The sequence below is a fragment of the Homo sapiens genome, chromosome 8 (assembly GCF_000001405.40).
Source record: "Homo sapiens chromosome 8, GRCh38.p14 Primary Assembly".
Taxonomy (NCBI): Eukaryota; Metazoa; Chordata; class Mammalia; order Primates; family Hominidae; genus Homo; species Homo sapiens.
The window spans coordinates 9,186,374-9,204,209 of NC_000008.11; the positions used below are offsets into that span (position 1 = coordinate 9,186,374).

General features: G+C 43.1%; 1 long non-coding RNA gene across 1 annotated transcript, besides 3 other annotated features; it reads left to right on the forward strand.

Moving 5' to 3' along the window:
• Positions 1,564-2,549: an enhancer, noted in NCBI's record as "H3K27ac hESC enhancer chr8:9045447-9046432 (GRCh37/hg19 assembly coordinates)". NCBI's record gives its function as "activates a minimal SCP1, AML or CMV promoter by ChIP-STARR-seq in naive H9 embryonic stem cells {active_cell/tissue: H9 hESC(naive)}" and the evidence as "EXISTENCE:reporter gene assay evidence [ECO:0000049][PMID:30033119]".
• Positions 1,564-3,395: a biological region, named in NCBI's record as "P300/CBP strongly-dependent group 1 enhancer GRCh37_chr8:9046079-9047278".
• Positions 2,196-3,395: an enhancer, noted in NCBI's record as "P300/CBP strongly-dependent group 1 enhancer chr8:9046079-9047278 (GRCh37/hg19 assembly coordinates)". NCBI's record gives its function as "activates an origin of replication core promoter dependent on BRD2, BRD4, P300/CBP, MED14 and CDK7 cofactors, with strong dependence on P300/CBP, by STARR-seq in HCT116 cells {active_cell/tissue: HCT116}" and the evidence as "EXISTENCE:reporter gene assay evidence [ECO:0000049][PMID:35650434]".
• LOC101929128 (uncharacterized) lies at positions 2,626-16,485 on the forward strand. The gene is made up of 4 exons (NR_125431.1): positions 2,626-2,673; positions 2,975-3,213; positions 12,551-12,618; positions 16,126-16,485. It is a non-coding gene; the product is annotated as an uncharacterized LOC101929128 (long non-coding RNA).
• The last annotated feature ends 1,351 nt before the right edge of the window (positions 16,486-17,836 follow it).

Sequence of the window (17,836 nt, forward strand, 5' to 3'; positions counted from 1 at the left end):
ATAAAACTCCTTAACCTAAGATGTGCCCCCCAACCCCCCTCAAATTCCTGACCATAGCATTTACAATAAGACCTTTTATTGCAATTATGAACATAGGATACTGGAAAATATCTTCTATGTGGCAAGCCCAACTGTAATGCTGTACTCAGGAATTCTTTTATTAAAATATGCACACACTCATACTTGAGATTTATTGGTCTTTTGTCTTATTGCGTTAAGTTCTTAAGCTGATTTTTGATATTACTCTTGTGGCATTTTACAGCTTTTGTGCTTAAACTGCACATTCTTCTGCAAGCATAGATATTTTGAGATGAAGTAGGCAGCACTTCATAGAATTCGAAGAGATGGGGAGGATGAATGATGAATGAATGTATTTACTGTGTAAATGAGGAATAACACTGGGCCAAGGTTTTTCTCCTGAAACCAGATTTTAAAAATGGTTTAATAATATATTTTAATATGCTCTCCTTTGGGGAACCATGTAAATCTAGTAGACTGTACTTTCCCCTTATTTTTCTTGACTTCAAATCAGAGTGATGGTTTGGTGGGTTGTACGCCCCAGTGACTTTCCTCTCTGCCACATTTTCCTGTCTGTTGGCATCTGAGGACATTTCAATGGCTTCCTTGAAGCTCTTGCTGTCTCTCCTCTATGTTCAATTTTCTGCCTTTAGCACACTGTTCAAGAATGGCTTTGCAATCTTAGTGTTTGTTATTTGCTCTCATCCCTTGACCAGCCTGTAATGTTTCCGGAGGTAATCTGATGAATTGGTTTGAATAGCTCGATTTGGAGAATAGCTAACAGGCAGGGAAAGTGAGGAGCATGAATAATGGAGGTAGCTGGGGCCTTTCATTGAATCAATATATACAGTGGGGGAGGAGACAGGCATCAGGAAACATTGGCCCACTAGGAATAAGATTGCTGGGTATTAAGTTTTGGCATTGTTAGAATTGTGACATGAATGGGGAATGAGAATCTCTTTGGTCTTCTCTGGCTATCTTGGGGTGTGGACTATCGTTTATTGTTTCACTGTTAATACCCTATGAAAAAGCAAGGGTCACCTGTGCTCTGTGTGGCACTGCAAAATCAAATTAACATTGACCTGAGCCCCTGCTACAGGCTACCAAGCAAAGTGTGGGTGCTGCTGAGGATACTGGAGAGCATTAAACATGGTTGGGCAAGATGTAAAAGGCGATTGGAAACAACAGTGGAATTTTGAACACAAGGTGTTAGGTGGTAAATTGCGTAACGAATGCTTTTGACCTTCAGTGGGTCTGCTGAAGTCAGTGTGAGTGAGGAGGAAACAGGAGCTGGGGCTGTAAGGATGAGAGGATGGAGATGGTAGAGAACAGAACTGGAACATTCTAGCTGAGAGTGACGTTGGCAAAGTAGAAAGAGCTCTCTCTAGGAAGTAGGAGATCTGGCTGAAGTGCAATGGCGTGATCACGGCTCACTGTAGCCTCACTCTCCTGAGCTTAAGGGATCCTCCTGATTCAGCCTCTGGAGTGTCTGGGGCCACATGTGCACGCCACCACATCCAGCTATTTTAATTTTTTTGTAGACACGAGGTCTCACTATGTTACCCAGGGTGGTCTCAAACTCCTGGGCTCAAGCAAGCCTCCTCCCTTAGCTTCCCAAAGTGCTGAGACTGTAAGTGTGAACCACCACTCCCAGTCCGAGACCTGGCTTTTGACTTATTATACCTGTGCTCCTGCTTCCTGTGTGGCATTGGGCAATCAACACAGCCTTTCTGAATGTTCACTTCCTCAACAGTAAATGGAGGAGTTAGATGACTCATTCATTCCAGAAATAGTTTTGAGCATTTGCTCTGCATCAGACCCGGTGCCACGTACCATGGGTGCAAAGGGGAGCAGCATAGGTAAGATCTGTGCCTTCCGAAGAGGGTAGAGTCTTCTGGAGGGACATTACAAATAATCAGGCACTCCCAGTGCTGGGAGCTAAGTTCTGTTACAGGGAAGAGAAAGAAACAATGGGAATACCAAGGAGGATATTTACAGAGGGGGAAGGCTTTGAGCTGAAATTGAACGGTGAATAAAGGCTGAGCAGCCATGGTGAGATGGGGGGAGACTCTTCTGAATGGTGTGGTGGCGGAAGTGGGGGTGGGGGGGATGCAACAGTCTTGTTGGACTGGAACATAGAGTTCAAATGGCGGAATTTCAGAGCTTTGACGCTCTACTATTAAGAAGGTCCAGCAAGTTCTGCCGTGAACAGTTGTGCTCATAGCTAGCTGTGTGATCTTGAACAAGTTTCTTTGTCTCCAAAACCTAGTTTTGTTACAGGTAGATAGGCAAGAGTGGGCTCTCCCCCGACGCACTAGAAATGTCGGATGACAGTTCCACAGTTATCGCATTGCCTCTCTAAAAATCATAATTCAGCAGCCAGGGAGAGACAATCTCCTGATGGTCCATAACCTTGACATTAAAAGTGTTAACTGAATACAGATCCCAGGGAGAAGCAGATTCTTGGGCATGTGTGTTAAGAGATAAAATGGCAAAGTATGACTTTCCGGGGTACACGCCACAGGAAAAAGGAAAAAGTCTCAGGTGGGCATGCGTGTAACTCCCTAAACGCACTGCGCGTGCTCAATTCCAAAGGCTAAGGAAAGCATTGCGCATGCGGGAAACCCACGCTGAGGGAAGAATCATGGGAAAGAGGTGAGCCTGTAAAGTTTTAGGATCAAGGTTAAAGGCCCTTTTTTGCTCTCTTCTCTCTTGGACCTTCAGGCGACGGCTTGGGTATCTTCCAAGCGAATTTTCCTTTCTTTCCTGTTCTTTTTTTTTTTTGAGACGGAGTCTTGCTCTGTCGCCCAGGCTGGAGTGCAGTGGCGTGATGTCGGCTCACTGCAAGCTCCGCCTCCCGGGTTCACGCCATTCTCCTGCTTCAGCCTCCTGAGTAGCTGGGGCTACAGGCGCCCGCCACCACGCCCGGCTAATTTTTTTGTATTTTTTTTTTTAGTAGAGACGGGGTTCCACCGTGTTAGCCAGGATGGTCTCGATTTCCTGACCTCGTCATCCTCCCGCCTTGGCCTCCCAAAGTGCTGGGATTACAGGCTTGAGCCACCGCGCCCCGCTCTTTCGTGTTCCAAAGGCTTTTTAAATAAACTTCCACTCCTGTCCTGGATTCTGCTTTATGGCCCTCAGTCGAATTCTTTCTTCTGAGGAGGCAAGGACTGAAGTTGCTTCTGACCAGTACAGGTACGCCGCAGGTAACTTGGATCTCTTCCACCGCTAATAGTTTCTTAATCTGTAAAATGAGATAATGTGTGTATTGCATTAACCCATTCATTGTGTGGGTTTAATGAGATGATGTACGTAAAGCCCTGAGCATAGTGCCTGGAATATAGGAAGTCCTTAGTAAATGTTAATTGCTGCATTTTCATTATTACTACATCTTCCACACCCCAGGGATCCCTTGCGTCACAGAGTGCTCGCCACCACCCCCGGGGGACACCTTCCCCAATCACTGTGGCCCTCTCTGGGGAGCTGAAGGCCTCCATAACTGCCATGGGATTGATTTGTGAGCAATTGCTTGCACAGGCTCAGCTTCTGTCCTGATTACCACAAAATTTGGATTCATTTCTCCCCAGTACTTCTCCCGTAGTGTTATACCTAGACATTTCCTATGTGGGATTGAGATAAAATATTCCATTCCTATGGATAATATGGTTTTCTATCTCTATTATTCAGACACAATGACCAAAGAATAATTTGGATGGCTGGCAAGCCTTGGATCAATAACATGCTGCCTGCTGTTAAAAAGTTAGCTTGGTCATCACATTTCTTCTTTGCACTAAGGATAATATTGTACTCTGATCCTCCATCCTTTCCTTCCTCTTTCCTCCCTCCCATCCTCCATCCTTTCCTCAAGTGTAATCTTACTCTTAGGAGGTGTGAAAGGCTAACTTAGCCTTTAAATGTGTTCTTTGAATTCCTTAGTTCTAGAGAGGTAATTTCTAAGATCATCCTATCAGAGAAATGTAATACTCTAAAAATCTGCTTTTATTTGGTATAGATCACTTCCTACGTATTTGCTGAAAACTTGCCACAGTCTTTAATAGAGCATATATATTTTAAGGAACCACAGACGTGCTTTAAGTTTGGGCCTTTTGAGAATCTAATGGTGTTAAAAACATAAGGACCCTCAAAAATGTAATTATCTTTTCCAGCCTTCCCTCCCTGCCTTACTCATATTCTGACCTTGAGTAGTTCTCACTTTACTGTTGAACCACAATTCAGCAGCGGCAGCAGCAGCAGCAGCAGCAGCAGCTCTTGTAGAATGTTGCAATCTCAAAAGGGATTTACAATTGTTTGTGTTTTTCATCATTGACTTGAATAGCGTTAATTCAGAATGATGCACTCTGCTTCAGTACTGCAGATCTGAAGGAGGTGGGAATTGAGACAGACTGATTTGTCTGGAGCCCCGTGGTTCAGTCTAGGATTTATAGAGACAAAGGAGTTTTTTTTAACATAGTTTTAATACAGTCTGCACTTCCTCTTCCACCTACACCTCTGCCTTCTTAACGACTGTGGTTAAGCATAATCTATTAATCCTTCAATGAGAAAGGAAAGCCATGGGAAATCTAGCAACAGGAATTGTGTGTGAGTCAATGCTTGGACTATTAGAAGCGGAAGATATGTGCAGAAATAAAAAAAACTCACCTTGTAGCAAATTAAGAGCATTGATTGGACTTTGCCAGGAAGTGTTTCTTTTGTATTCTTTCTGATGGATGCCAGCGGTATTAAAATAAAGAGAATAAATAATACTGAGTAAGGAATTATTGGTGCCGATGTTGGCACTAAAACCCTCACTTGTAACTGTGCATAGAATAATTAGGTTAGAAGACTATGAGTGCCTGTTCTCTTAGACTGGTATTAGTGGGAGCCAGGCAGGGGACACAAGGCTGGAGGCTTCATCTGGCACAAAACATCTGGGTCTCCCAACTCAGACCCAAAGCTAACTTCCTCTTGTGACCTGGTTTCTCTCTCCATCTCCATGCTCTGTCCCCACTGCATCCCCTGGACCCTGGAGATCTTCCTTTTTTTTATCCGCCTAGTTGCTTGCGATAGGGGCTGCTCCCTGCACCAGAGGCCCCAGGTAACACAGGCAGGTCTCTAAGACATGCTACTTAGCTTTTGTTTTCAGTTTCCATCTTGACTTCTTAAATTGCTGATATTATCACTGTCAAAAAACAAATACAAAGATATTATAAACTGATTCCAAGTCATATCATGTTTTGAAAGGAACACATGGCCGTGTGTAAGCCTTTCCACCTCCCCCTGTGTTCTTAGTTCATTTCTTGTGCCCTTAGTTCATGACTTGTGCTCTTAGTTCCTGTCTACCACATCCCATAGTGCCCTATCCCTGATTTTGTTCCAAGTGTCCCTAGCAGTGTCCCCTAGCAGTGTGCCTCATTTGTGGCTAAATGTGCCTCTGTGCTTGGAACAAACCTTTAAGTTCACCTTTCAGAACCTGACAGATTGGAGCTACCATCCTCAAGTACTTGCTTTATATCGTCATCAGCATTATTGGGCAGCTCTTTTTCTTGGATACAGATTTCTTACCCTCTAGAAGACTGTTGTTTTAGAACATTACATCTGAAATCCAATCTGGAGATTTTGATTCAGTGGGTCTGGGATGGGGCCCAGGAATTTGTAGTTTTAACAAGTATCTCGGGTGATCATTATCAGGAAAGTCTGGAAAACCCTGCCTTACAACTTTCCTGTTCTCTTTCCTGCCTCATTCACATAGACCTGCTAAGTATTTGCTGGACGTGCAAACAACCTTTGTAATGACTCTGTAGGCTTCCATTTGACAGAGTTTGAATATAATATGGTAATTTTGAACCCTCATAATCTTTTAAAGATAGAGTTTTACCAAATCAATCATTCTGTATTGACAGTTTTAATTCATTGCTTGTTCCTGCATGAACTTCTCATTGTGGAACGGTTAAGATATCTACTTTAAAAAAAAAATCTGGAATTTAGTTTGAATTTCTCATTGTGAAGCAACTACAATATCTACTTTTTAAAAATATTATTTATTTATTTATTTTTTTGAGACGGAGTCTCACTCTGTCGCCCAGGCTGGAGTGCAGTGGCGCAGTCTCGGCTCACTGCAAGCTCCACCTCCTGGGTTCACGCCATTCTCCTGCCTCAGCCTCCAAAGTAGCTGGGACCAGAGGCTCCCGCCACCACGCCCGGCTAATTTTTCTGTATTTTTTAGTGGAGACGGGACGATATCTACTTTTTTAAAAAATCTGGAATTTAGTTTGTTAGAAAAATCTGATTCTGCCGGGCTTGGTGGCTCACACCTATATCCCAGCACTTTCGGAGGCCGAGGCGGGTGGATCATGAGGTCAGGAGATCGAGACCATCCTGGCTAACACAGTGAAACCCCGTCTCTACTAAAAATACAAAAAAATTAGCCGGGTGTGGTGGCAGGCGCCTGTAGTCCGAGGTGCTCCGGAGGCTGAGGCAGGAGAAGGCGTGAACCTGGGAGGTGGAGCTTGCAGTAAGCCGAGATCTCGCCACTGCCCTCCAGCCTGGGCGACAGAGAGAGACTCCGTCTCAAAAAAATAAATAAATAAAGAAGATTCTTAGCAGCTAGTTAGAGTAGCAATTAAAGTTCTTGATTTTTTTAATTTGTTCCTTTTAATTAAAAATTTTAGGGAAGGGAGAAATGAGGAGTTCTTTCATGGGTAAGTTGTTCATGGGTAAGAATTTCAATTTTGCAAGATGAGAAGAATTCTAGAGATTGGTTGTACAACATCGTGAATACATTTAACACTGCCAAATTGTACACTTAAAAATGCCTAACGTGGTACATTTTATGTTATGCAGATTTTATCGCAATATTTTAAAAATCGGGGGAAGTGTCCACAGGTTTATGGTCTAGATAGCTGTCAGAAAATGAATATGAGTACCTACCATGTAACCAGGCACTATGCTAACAGCTTTCTGCCTTTTTCAGTAGAGTAGGTTATTTAATTCTTTTAACAGTGCTGTCTTTATTTCACAGATTGGGAAGGAGAAAGTCACTTGACTCACAGGCCAACTGCTATGGACTGAATTGTGTCTTCCCCTCATTAATATGTTGAAACCCTATCCTCCCTCCAATGTGATGGTATTTGCAGATGGGGCTTTTGGGAAGTAATGAAGTTTAGATGAGGCATGAGGGCTGGATGGATATGATCAGATGAGTGCCCAAAGAAGAGACACCAGAGAGCTAGCTTCTTCTTTCTCTTTCCACCTTTACACACTGAGAAAAGGCCAAGTGAGCACACACCAAGAAGGCAGCCATCTGCAAACCCAAGGAGAGAGTCCTCACTAGACACCCTGCTGGTACCTTGATCTTGGACTTCTAGCCTCCAGAACTGTGAGAAATAAATTCCTGTTGTTCAAGCTAGTATTAATACCTGGTGTTTTGTTATGGCAGCCTAAGTGACTAAGACACCAACTTAATTTACTTAGCCAGGGTCAATCAGTGGTAGGGCCCAGGATTCTGACCCAGTTCTGCCTAACTCCACAATTCATGCTTTTTCTGGATATAAACATCTGCCTTCCCAGTTTCCCTGACTCTTAGAGCCGTGGAGCAGTGTGTGTCATGTGCTGCACACCCAGGCTGGAACAGCCTGTCTCCAGGTAGGTCTCTGCATAGTGTGTGACTCCATGGGGACCTCTATGCGGCCCCAGTCTTGTGAGCTGATAAAATTTATATTGGTAGCTTGGCAAATTTAACGCCTACCTCCAACAACTCTTCAGGAATGTGGGACTCTCTAAAGGGATTCATTTGCAGAGACAGAAGCCTTGGTGTGGGATGTGTTACTGTACAGTTTGTACAGTTTGCTAAACCCCTCAGCCAATACGGTTTCTATAACTGGTGCCCCCCCCACAGTTCGCTGGGGTTCACTGTTGTGCAGGTGATAGCTCCAGGTGTTGGGAATCCCTGATGAAGCCTTAGCTGGCAATGGCTGAAGGCGATATCTCTGAGATGTCCGGTCAGGACCTTCCTCTCTGTTGCCATGGCTGTGTCTCACTGCCGCGCCTCTCCTCTGTTCCCTGCAGGGTAGAGTCTGGATGCTTTTATCGACATATTGGAGTTTTTCTACTAAGTGCAGAAACGTCTCTAGATCTGAGCACAGTCACATCAAGCTTAGATTTTAATGTCCTGGTTTCATTAATTTCTATTTCAGTTATTCCAGGGGCTGCTCTCCCTCACTGGGTTCTTTTCAGATGTGTACAATGGCTAGAACTTCTTTCTGTTCTTGCTGCAATATGCCAGCCGCATTTCCTTTTACACGGGCGTCTCCTTTTGTCTCCTGTCTGTGGGTACTGCAGTAGCAAAAGGGGCAATCTGTGGTCTTTTCTCCATAACCCCTCCTGCAGAGAACAACTTTCAGGCTGGGGGTTTCCTGAAACATAGATTGCACTGGACAGAAGGACTTAACATGTCTTTGTTGCACCCTAAAACATGACCTTTAGTTTCTCTCTGCTTAGAATCTATATGCTGTGCCACGATTTTTCTACCATGATTTTATCTTGTAGAATTCACTTTACCTCTCTGGGTTCCAAGTCCTCATTTATTAAATGAAGATCCCATTCTAAGATTGTGCCAATTTTCCTATTTCCAAATTCATCAGCACCGAGAGTGCCTGTCCTTACTGTGGAGGTCTGGCGATAGAGAGCAGGTTCTCCCTGCAATATTGACACAGGCCCGCCTCTGCTGTGGGGGCCTGAACACTGGCATCCCTAGCTTCTCCTCGGGGCCAAAGATGACTTGAGCCTTCCCAGTGGAGGTAGAAGCTGGAGCTTCCTTTCAGGAAGTGGCTCATAGTGACAGACTCAAAGATCAGGAGGGTCTTGTAGTTCCATCATGTTGACAAGGATTATAGGAGCTGTAATTATACAAGCTGCCCCAAAGTCCTGATTTCAGTCCTCATTAAGTCCCGACTTCTAAAATGAGGTTAAAATTATATCATAAGGGCTGGGCGCGGTGGCTCACGCCTGTAATCCCAGCACTTTGGGAAGCTGAGGTGGGTGGATCACTTGAGGTCAGGAGTTCGAGACCAGCCGGGCCAACAGAGTGAAACCTCATCTCTACCAAAGACACAAAACTTAGCCAGGCATGGTGGTACATGACTGTAATCACAGCTACTGGGGAGGCTGAGGCAGGAGAAGTGCTTGAACCCAAGAGGCAGAGGTTGCAGTGGGCTGAGATCGTGCCTTTGCCCTCCAGCCTAGGCGAAGAAGTGAGATTTTGTTAAAAAAAAAAAATAAAAATAAATATATATATATTAGGCTTGGCATCTTGGCATGGTGGCTCACACCTATAATCCCAGCACTTTGGGAGGCCAAGGTAGGAGGATCCCTTCAGGCCAAGAGTTTGAGACTGGCCTGGGCAACGTAGTGAGACCCCATCTCTAAAACCAAAAATTAGCTAGGCATGGTGGTGCATGCCTGAAGTCCCAGCTACTTGGGAGGCTGAGGTGGGAAGATTGCTTGAGCTCAGGAGTTTGAGGTTATAGTGAGCTATGATCATACTACTGCACTCCAGCCTAGGTGACAGAGTGAGACCCTGTCTCTAAATAAAAATAAAATAATAAATCAATTGTATCATAAAAAACTAAACTTGCCCTCACATAACTCTCTCTTCTGCTGACAATCAATACTTTCTTAGACAACGTTTTCTTCAGTTCCAGCTGGCTTTTGAGGAGCAAATTTTTCTCCCCATAGAGTTTTAAGAAATGCTTCCTCAGCAAATTGAGAAGAAGAAAGTAAAGCAAATGTTTTCTCTAAGTGACTCCTTCCCAAATTCTAGTTTAAGAGCCTTTGTAAATCAGATGGAAGCTTTAGAAAAATGGCAGCAGATAAAAGCCTGCAGGATGACTCCAAAGTAGTCAAAGCCACCTAAACACGTGCATTGATGATGGGTGTGCCTATGTTATAGGTCCCATGGATCCCTGGGAGACTCAGGAAGGAGTCAGTTCTCAGTTATAGAATGTTAGAGACCACTTAGGCTTTATTTTATTATTATTATTGAGATGGGGTCTCACTCTGTCACCCAGGTTGGAGTGCAGTGGTGCAATCTCAGCTCACTGCAACCTTCACCTTCCATGATCAAGTTATCCTCCCTCCTCTGCCTCCCAAGTAGCTAGGACCACAGGTGCACACCACCACACCTGGCTAATTTTTTGTATTTTTGGTAGAGACAGGGTTTCCCCATGTTGTCTAGGCTGGTCTTGAACTCCTGAGCTCAAGTGATCCACCTGCCTTGGCCTCCCAAAGTGCCGGGATTACAGGCTTGAGTTACTGCGCCGGGCCCCAGCCTTTATATAATGGGACTGCCTGTAATGGAAGAGCATGAAATTTTAAAAAATCTAATTTCATTTTCCATTAATGTATGTATTAATTTTTTCCTTACTGATTCTGTATTGAATTATTGATTATGAATTTCATTCATTCATTCATGTACTTGTTATTTATTTAAAAAAATTATCTTTGCCTGTCTACCGAGTGTTAGGCCCTGGGCCAAATTTTATCTTTAGAACTTTGAAGGTGGCAGGCTGGCTCTCTGATCACACAGAACTTGCATCTGAAAGGGAATAAACTGACTGATAAATGAACTGAATAATGATAGTTTGTGGTGAATGCCATGAAGCAAAAGAATAACATGATATTCGGAGGCTGACACGGGTATATCACCTGAGGTCAGGAGTTCGAGACCAGCCTGCCCAACATGGTGAAACCCCATCTCTACTAAAAGTACAAAAATTAGCTGGGCATGGTGGCGCGCCCCTGTAGTTCCAGCTACTCAGGAGGCTGAGGCCCGAGAATTGTTTGAACCGAGGAGGCAGAGGTTGCAGTGAGCTGATTGCACCATTGCCCTCCAGCCCACATAAGAGCAAAACAACATCTCAAAATAAATAAATAAATAAAATAAAAATGTCATATTACATTAATGGTCAAGCTAGGAATTGCTGAAATAATAATATGCCTAACCCTTTATTTTTCCTGTTCTCTGCTTTCTTTCTCCTTGTGCGTCTAGATCAATCCTTTCCTAACTCAACTTCAAATACCTAATTACCAGAAAACCACCACACAAATGTCTGAGAGCTGCTTTTGTCATTGAAAATACACAGGCTTCCTTACTAACCTGGTTTAGTTAGTGTATTCCTTGCATTTTGGGATTCTTCAAAGTAGGTCATCATTTTTTTGAAAAATCACACAATCCTTATTTTTATTTAAACTTTTGAGATATCTATAAATTATGGTTTGAGACAATTAAAAAGGAGTTTGCATTTGACATAGCTCCATTCAAATTTAAAATGTTCATTCTCTGAAATAATATGTATTGCCAGAGGAGATGAAAAATAAAATGGACCAACATCTAAGCTGTGGTCTATCTGAGAACTTCCTGATCTCACCGTGGCAAAAGAATATCTTGTTCTACTGCCCCCAGCCCTTCTGTTCTTTGTTCTGGCCTGGCTTTCCAGAACTCCTATTTCTGATTAGGGCTTTTCTACTGATTGGTGGACACTGAACAGTTTCCCTTCTGTGTCTTCTTATCTCTAATTTGCTTTATTTTTATGACTGTTGCCTGGTTTAGATGAGTCAAACCTTTAAAAATGCTATTTATATGCATTTCTGATATTTTTCTGTGTCTTAGAATATAAGTGAAAATTGCTTGTACACGTTAGCACTGTCTTTCATTTTTGTTTTTGCTGCAAAATAATTTAAACATAACGAGATTTGTACGAATTAAATTCAACAATAAAGCTCCCCACCAAAAGGCCAGGCCAAAACAATAAATTCTAACTAGTGTTTAAAACAACCAGTCTGGTGTTGAGGAAACTGAGTGGCTCTTTTCAAGCAGAAGAAAGACAGGAGATGTTCTCTATATTAATGAGCTGTTCTACTTTAGTGCTGTCGGGAGTGATGCTGACGGCATACGAGGCTGTGCTGTACTGGTTTGCAACATCTGTCACTGGCTTACATAGCTGTTAATCTTTCATTTCATGTTCAGACTTATCAGTATTCATTAAAGACCCTCCATTTGTGCAAGACCTTCTGGGAAAGAGTGCCCTATCTCGGTGTCTTAGATTTAACAACAACGACAAAAAGGTTCCATTTTAGACACTTTTTTTGATCAGGCAGCAGGCAGTCTCTGGCTGTGGGAGGTGGGAACCAGTCATATATGCATATGACCAAACAGCTTTTCTACTGGAGAAGTTTAGCGTTGGTAAGAGAAGGGGTTCCAAGTTGATGTTTAAATCCACCCATTTCCATTTTGCTTCCTTACCTACAAGAAAATTTAGAAGTTGGTGCAAATGGCATTTCCATGAGTACTTCTCATGCATCTTTGCATATTTCACCTGGGGGGAAGCACAGAGGCTGAGCCTGGGAGGCTGGATCCGCGAGGGCGCGTCACCTCGCCTAGTTGGGAGTCCAGGCACATGCACAGCGTCTAAAGGTCTAAACAGAAAGATGGGATGTCCTGCCCCAGCAAAAATCTAATGATTTTCTCTCTCTGTAGGAGAAAACGAATACAGCAGGGATGACTTCCACCAGCTCCACTTTGCAGCTCTGAGGTGTATTAAAAATGTAAGAAATGCACAGTGTCACCCGTCACTGCTTATTTCACATTTAAAAAACATGAATATTCTTAAGATGACCTGTAGAGGAACTGCTATATTTTGTCATACCCCTAGTCTCTCAATGATTCGGAAAGGAATGAGTGTATGCTGAATTTTTTCCAGGTAGGCAAGGATATTAGAATAGGTCTATCAGATTCAATGCAAATTGAGCCCACAGCCAACACAACCCATGGGAAGAAAAAAAAATCAAATATCAGGTTTAATTTAAAGGTATTTTCATTTAGATTGAGTGGCGTGACCAGGTCTTCTGTTCCAAGGAAAGGGACTATGAAGAATAAACTTCTGAAGCCTCTAACTCCTAGCAGAAACGCAGGCTTGCAGGAAAATGCCAACAGTGTAGCAAGACGCCTGGGGAGGGTGCCCATCCGCTCTTGGCTCCTGGGCTCCTTTGTTTCACATGCGCTCATCTTGGCTTTGAAGGCCACGTGAGGATGAGCAGCTGCCCAGGAACCTGAATCAGTTTTATCCTTTACCAACAGCCAGATTTTTAGTCTCCTCTCAAACACCTCTGAATCTGCCTGTCAGACTATAGACTTTAGGTCACCAAAATTTTTCCAACTGGGGGTGACTGTCTGGGAGCCACATCCTCTGCCCCACCCCCTGCCACTCTCAGAAGTTACTACTAGTGGGCTGAATCTAAGACCACAGGTGTGTCTTTGATCAACCTGTATTTTGGGCTGAGCGCAGTGGCTCACACTTGTAATCCCAGCACTTTGGGAGGCTGAGGTGGGTGGATCACCTGAGATCAGGAGTTCGAGGCCAGCCTGGGCAACATGGCAAAACCCCGTCTTTACTAAAAATACAAAAATTATCCAGGCATGGTGGTGGGTACCTGTAGCCCTGGCTACACAGGAGGCTGAGGCAGGAGAGTCGCTTGAACCCGGGGGGCTGAGGTTGCAGTGAGCCAAGATCACGCCACTGCACTCCAGCCTGGGTGACAGAGTGAGACTCCATCTCAAAACACAAAGCAAAACAAAATCAAAATAAAACCTGTATTTTGAAGAGACTGGATCTTTTCTGGGTTGGCTTGCATTCTAAAGCTGATTGTGGCCAGCAAGGCAGAAGAAAAGACAGCAAGGAAAAAAGACGAGAATTTTGTTTGTCTCTTTTTCATACGCTTCTAGCTTTCCTTCCCAGGCTCCACCAACACCAACACTTTTTTTTTTTGAGACAAAGTCTCGCTCTTGTTGCCCAGGCTGGAGCGCAGTGGCACAATCTCGGCTCACTGCAACCTCGCCTCCGAGGTTCAACCCATTCGCCTGCCTCAGCCTCCCGAGTAGCTGGGATTACAGGCGCTTGCCACCACACCCAGCTAATTTTTGTATATTTAGTATAGACAGGGTTTCACCATGTTGACCAGGCTGGTCTTGAACTTCTGACCTCAAGTGATCCACCTGCCTTGGCTTCCCAAAGTGCTGGGATTACAGGCTTGAGCCACTGCACCCGGCCCACCAGTGCTTCTGAGTGCCTTTAATTGCCCTATGACTATGACTGCATCCGTGGAGTGTATCATGGAATTTAATCACCTAGTCTGAACTCTCAGCTTCTGGGTGGGTAAAAACATGGTTAGAAGTGTGCTGTAAAATACAGGACTATCACATTCAAATGAAATTACCAAGTTCAAAACCAGATGGACATATTGTCTATCCACAAAAGAGTAGTGCTTGGATTTTTTTTTTTAACTTTTCATTTTGAAATCATTTCCAGCTTTAAAAAATACGAAAACATTACTGTATATCTTTTATTCAGACTTCCCAAATTTAAACCTCTTACACAATCACAATGATGTGAGTAAAATGAGTTCAGAGATCCACATTAGGAAATCAACGTTGATATGACGCTATCATCTAATCTTTAGATATTCCAATTTTGTCAGTTGTCCCATTCATGTTTTTGTTCTGGTCCGGTCCAGTCAAGGATCTCACGTTGCATTTAGTTGTCCTGTTCTCTTCCTTTCCTTTCATCTGCAGTGGTTCTTTGGTCTTTCTTTGTCTTTCATGACCATGACACTGTTGAAGAGTACAGGCCTGCTATTGTGTAGAATATGCCTCACTTTGGATTTGTCTGATGGGTCTTCCTGATTAGATGTAGGTTGTGCATTTTTGATGCATATATCAGGACACTGATCCATTCTGGTGAGATTCACTTTGATTACTTGATTACTGTAGTTATTTTTTCCCCCTCTGCAAATAGTGCAGTATCTGATGAGGAGACACTTTGAAAATAAATATCCTGGTCCTCATCAGACATTCACCCAACACTTTTAGCATCCTTTGAGGATTCTTACCTGAAACAATTATGACTGTGGTGCTTTCTACGTGGTGATTTTCTAATTCTCTCACTTCACTGAAATTGTACAGAAAGGATGAGTCTCCCTTTCTCCCCTATTTATTTACTTTAAAATTATTGGCCGGTTGCGGTGGCTCACGCCTGTAATCCCAGCACTTTGGGAGGCTGAGACTGGTGGATCACGAGGTCAGGAGATCAAGACCATTCTGGCTAACACAGTGAAACCCTGTCTCTACTAAAAATACAAAAAAAATAATTAGCCGGGCGTGGTGACAGGCGCCTGTATGGGAGGCTGAGGCAGGAGAATGGTGTGAACCCAGGAGGCGGAGCTTGCAGTGAGCTGAGACTGTGCCACTGCACTTCAGCCTGGGCGACAGAGTGAGACTCTGTCCCCCCCCCCCCCCAAAAAAAGTATTTATTTATGTCAATATGGGCTCATGGATTCTTATTTTATTCTATGAGATATAATGCATTGCTGTCATTATTTAGTTTCTGGCTCAAATTATCCCAGATTTGGCCATTGGGAGCCCCTTCATAGGGGTTTGTGTGTCGTGTGACATGGCACATTCCTTGGACACTTTCCTACTTTACAGTATTATCAACATATTCCAGGCTCGTCTTGTTCTTTCCTTGCTCCAGCTCTTCATTCAGCCTTTTCTTCAAGGAGCCCTGTGTCTTTTTTTTGGAGAATGGTCTTTAGAATCTAAGATTGGGGGCTGATTGTTCTCATCGCTGGTGCAGAGACATTTCTTCTAGATCCTCTTAGTGGGCAGAGCGAAGAAATACATGTATAATACACACACATTGAGACGGAGCAGGGGCACCCTCTTACAGGCCTGCTGCCCTCCCCAGCCGCAAACATGGAAACAAAATCTTGAGTTTTTCAAGGAAAGTAAATAACAGACACCTAGCTAGCCCTGAGAACCAAATGAGCAACCTGGTAAGGAGGTAATTGTAGCTTAAAAAGAATAGTCAAGGAAGTTAGAGCCACAAGGTGTTTGGTTCCCTGTAGAAACTAAAGATAACATCTTAACACGTGTCCTTGAGTTGTTTTTCAGAAACCTAGAGCCCCACCAAATGAATCCGCTGGCACGTGGACCTCAGATGGGGGAAACTGAGGACTGAATTCTGACCACCCTCCTTTGTTCTAAATTTCTTCCTGAAGGACCTGGAAGAAGTCATGCCACGGGCCAGACCTTAACATTCCTTTCGGCTTACCCCAGGATTTCAGACAAAGCTTCACTTTCCTAACCAGTCACAAATCAGAGAATTTTTGATTCCACCTATGACCTGTGAGCTCCTGCTTCAAGATATTCCACCTTTTTTAGGCCAAACCAATGTATAACCTCCAAGTGTCGATTTACACTTTCGACTGTAACTTCTGCTTTCCTGAGATTTACCCCTGCCTTTAAAAACCCTTGCTTGTAATCCCTCAGGGAGGCCGTGTATTTATTAATCATGAGCTGCCCAATTCTCCTTGCTTGGTGCCCTGCAAATAAACACCCTCTTTTCTCCCACTGCAAAACCTCAGTGTGGATGTTTGGCTTTACTTCACCCCCAGGAAAGCAGACCCAGGTTTGACTCAGCAACAACATCTGTTTCTATTTTTCTCTGTATAAATATTAAAAACCATAAGTACATGCTATCTCCAATTCCAATATAAACCCATAGGGCTCATTCTGGCCTTCCCATTTTCTTATGTGTAATTCATTTCTCTGAAAATGAGAATTCGAGTACTCAGATATTTACTTACCTACTCAATCCTAGAATAGAAATAAAATAATTCAACATAATACCTTCTTAAGTTCCTGGACTTAGTTACACAAAAGTGAGGAATTACACATGAATTCTAAAATGTGATTTTAAAAATCTTTCCTTTTCCTTCTTATCACCCTTAGTAGCTCTCTACAGTAATATAAATTTTTACCCACCTATTCTTACAAAGTCATTTCAAGGCTGTCTTATTTCTACCCAGGATTCCACACTTATTAGAGGCTCTTTATAGGGGAAGACCTAGGATTAGAATCAAAACAGAACATCTTTTCTTTCTCTGCTTTTACTTAGAATATCCAAAACAGACCCAAAGAGACTGTTACTTAATCCAACTATTTTCTTTCAATATAGTCATCTTATCTGTTTTTTAATCTAGTTTGACTTTGATATTAACAGAATAAGACACCAACAGAGCTCCCGACATGCAAAGCATAGACGTCTGTCCAATTTTTGAAGAAGTTAAGACATGAAAATGGCAAAGGTTTTCTGGAGATTTGTTGAGATGACTGAGGTTGAGAACACTATCCCCATGTTAAAGAAAAGACAGAATTGGATGGATGCAGCTTTCTTAGTATTTCTGTGTACCTTAATACCCTAACATTGGTGGTTTGGGCCCTTCAAGACACATTATTGGACAACATCACTGCGATATTGAGTACCATCAGAGCAGCTGAGATGCACTGAAATGTTGCCGATGTAATTTTTGCTATGCAGAAAGAAACTTACAGATCTCTACTTTGTGCCTCTGCCTCCTTTAAGTATAGGCTCCCGATAATAGGTCTAAGTTGAGACAGTTAACATCCAGCGGGTTGCCGCAAGAATTTCACCAAGACCCTATGTTTATTCAGTGCAGAATTGCTCATCTTCTTCAGGACTGGTTCTAGATAAAATATGTATGAGTGAGAAAAATGGTTTATAGAATATATGAGCCTGACACCTCATAAGCCCAAGATATTTGTACTATATTTCCAACAGTAAGTATAAGTAAAAGCCATCATCAATGTGAGTGGGTTGAAATTGCTGCCAAAACAAGACTCTTATGTTGTTTTCAAAGATTCTCATGTAGTTTTAAAAGACAATTTAGTTGAATATCTAAGGTTGCA